This window comes from Homo sapiens, chromosome 2 (genome assembly GCF_000001405.40).
Source record: "Homo sapiens chromosome 2, GRCh38.p14 Primary Assembly".
In the NCBI taxonomy this organism is placed as follows: domain Eukaryota; kingdom Metazoa; phylum Chordata; class Mammalia; order Primates; family Hominidae; genus Homo; species Homo sapiens.
The window spans coordinates 155,230,535-155,233,719 of record NC_000002.12 but is presented as its reverse complement, the minus strand read 5'-3'; the positions used below and the strand labels follow the sequence as shown (position 1 = coordinate 155,233,719).

The 3,185-nt window shown below is 40.6% G+C and overlaps 1 annotated feature.

Moving 5' to 3' along the window:
• Positions 1,829-3,028: an enhancer, noted in NCBI's record as "MED14-independent group 3 enhancer chr2:156087204-156088403 (GRCh37/hg19 assembly coordinates)". NCBI's record gives its function as "activates an origin of replication core promoter dependent on BRD2, BRD4, P300/CBP and CDK7 cofactors, and independent of MED14, by STARR-seq in HCT116 cells {active_cell/tissue: HCT116}" and the evidence as "EXISTENCE:reporter gene assay evidence [ECO:0000049][PMID:35650434]".

The following is a 3,185-nucleotide window of genomic DNA, read 5'->3' as shown; positions in this document are numbered from 1 at the left end:
GTGCATGCCTGTAATCCCAGCTACTCCGGAGGCTGAGGCAGGAGAATCTCTTGGACTTGGGAGGCGGAGTTTGCAGTGAGCCAAGATCCCACCACTGCACTCCAGCCTGGGTGACAGAGAGAGACTCCATCTCAAAAATAAATAAACAAATATTTAAAAATATTAAAATATTTAGTATTTTAATGGGAGCTATTAAGTAGCAGAAAAGAGTAAAATTGATTCAGTGAAGTAAAAGTTTATCTCAAGAAATCCGCTAAAAACTGAAACAGGCCAGTAAGATTTCTGATGATGAAAAGAAAAGGAAATGTGAAGATCACTCATCATTGACCTAATATATGTATAATATGAATGCAGAAGGTAAAGGGATCACATGAAGTAATGCCAACAATCAAATAGAAAGTAGAAACCTTTTGGATCAAAAGGGCCCACTAGGTCCTAAGGAAAGGCTTTGCTAATTTGAGTCAAAGCTGTCACCCTACTTTAAATAAGACTGTGATATTGTGATTTATAATAAGAAACATGTATTTGGTTTTTGTCCCATTTGTGGCCCAGAGCTCCTGAAACTCTTGGAATTTCCTAAGTGATAAAAGTGATAAAGATAAAAGGAGAATTGTTATGTTCTTCATAACAAGACCCTTTCAATTGACCTAAGTTTATGTTAATGAGGCCATTTATGGAAAGCCCCCAAAGATGGTTAGCTGGTTGAGAGGAGAAGCAACTATGTGATTAGGTGGTTGGAACCTTCATCCCCATTCCACACTCACCTCAGGGAGAGAAGAATGGCTAGAGATTGATTGAACCACCAATGGCCAATGGTGTAATTGATCATGCCTACTTAATGAAGCCTCCATATAAACCCCAAAGGATGAGCTTTAAGAGTTTCCAGGTTGGTGAAAACATGGAGGTCATGAAAGGATGGTGCACCTGAGAAAGCATGAAAGTTCTCTTCAAGATACCTATGCATCTCTCCTGGCTGGCTGTTCCTCAGTTGTACCCTTTTATAGTAAACTGGTAATCTAGTGAATAAATTGTTTTCCAGACCTCTGGGAGCCATACTTGCAAATTATTGTGCCTGGGGAGGGGTTTATGAGAACCTCCAATTTATAGGGGCCCCAGTCAATCAGAAGCACAGGTGACAACTTAGACTTGTGACTGACATTGGAAATAGAAGCCAGTCTTCTAAGACTGAGTTCTTAACCTGCCTGTGGGGTCTGTGCTAACTCTGGTTAGTTTTAGAATTTAATTAAACCATAGGACACCCAGTTGGTGTTTGCCAGAGGATTAAGTTGAATTTTTTAGAAAAAGCTCACACATTTGGTATCAGAAGTGAAGTAGTGAGAGTAATAGTTGATCAGAGAAGAAATAAGAAATTTTCCTTTCAGATACCAAAGCAAACAAGAAGGCCAGGATAATGTGCTGAAATGCTGATTTGTATTCTGTTTTCCATGTATTTTTTCCTTTCCTTTTTCACATTAATTTGTTTACCTTTGCCTCAGGCTGGTCTGTGTAGTGAGGCCTGAAGCAGAAATTATCTGGGAAAACCAAAACAAAATAAGCAAAGTATATCAAACAAATGAAAATGTATCTTGTTAGTTTGTTAAGAACATGCTTGATTGAGAAAATTATGTTCAAGGACCCCATAGAAGAAGGGAAGACAGGCAAGTGCTTATGAAGGGTGCATTGGGAAGTGAAATAAATAAAGAGGTAGTGGGAACTGTGTCATGATATATGTAGCTACTAAAATTAATGGAAGTGGAAAATTAGGAATCCGCATTAACATGAGCCAGAGGGGTAAAGTTAAAGCGAGAAGCCCATGCATTAAGAATGTAATTTATGAACAAAGAAAAAGTATTGGCATGCACATAATTTGACACACAATTGAAATTTTAAAACCCAAACCAAACGAACCTCACTTCTTTTAAGCCAAAAGCATACCATAAATTATTATAAATTGTAAATTTACTTAAGCAAATTCAATGCCTTTTTTTTTTGAGACGGAGTCTCACTCTGTCACCCAGGCTGGAGTGCACTGGCGTGATCTCGGCTCACGGCAACCCCTATCTCCTGCGTTCAAGCGATTCTCCTGCCTCAGCCCCCTGAGTAGCTCCTCAGTACAGGCGGGTGCCTCCATGCCCGGCTAATTTGTTGTATTTTTAGTAGAGACAGGGTTTTGCCATGTTGGCAAGGCTGGTCTTAAACTCCTGACCTTAGGTGATCCACCCACCTCGGCCTCCCAAAGTGCTGGAATTACAGGCGTGAGCCACTGCACCTGGCCTCAATGTCGTCGTCTTCTCCTTTTCCTTCTCCTTCTTCTTCATTTTTTCTTTTTTTTTTTCTTTTTTCTAGATACAGAGTCTCGCTCGATCACCCAGGCTGGAGTGGAGTGGCGCCATCTTGGCTCACTGCAAGCTCCGCCTCCCGCGTTCTCGCCATTTTCCTGCCTCAGTCTCCGGAGTAGCTGGGACTACAGGCGCCCGCCACCACGCCTGGCTAATTTTTTTGTTTTTTTAGTAGAAACGGGGTTTCACCGTGTTAGCCAGAATGGTCTCGATCTCCTGACCTCGTGATCCACCTCAGCTTCCCAAAGTGCTGGGATTACAGGCATGAGCCACCGAAACCGGATGATGCCTCCTTCTTAATTTCCAGTCTTGTTGGCTAATATCAGGCAAGTTTTTCTGCTGAAATTGTTCGCTGAAGTCACACATGCATCCCCTTAATGCATTTCATTTTATTTTCTTCCTAGAGAAAGAACAAAGTTTAACATTACAGCTGTGTCCTGTTTTTTAAGGTATTTCTTGTTCAATGATGAGTGAAACATTTTTCAATACCTTGTAGTTATAATTATTATACCCTTTTCCTAAGACTAACACTTGTTTAACTTGTCTGACTAGTTCAGAGTCCATAACAGCCTTCTATCTAACCAAGAGCTCTTCCACTGGCATTTTATAAAGTCTCTCTACTTCAAATCTAGATTTGTAACATTGTCTCAGCGGATTTTCCCAGCCCTCACCTTCTTTAGAAGTTATTTTTAGTTGCTAGTTGCAGAGCTTGCCTTAGCTCCTTTCGATTGGTTTTAATTTTTAATTTTTTGTATGCTTCTTTATTTAGCAGCCAACTTTGTCCTCTACAGTATAGCATACAGACCAGTTTCTGGTGGTACCGGATTCTCATTCTCACTCACAGTC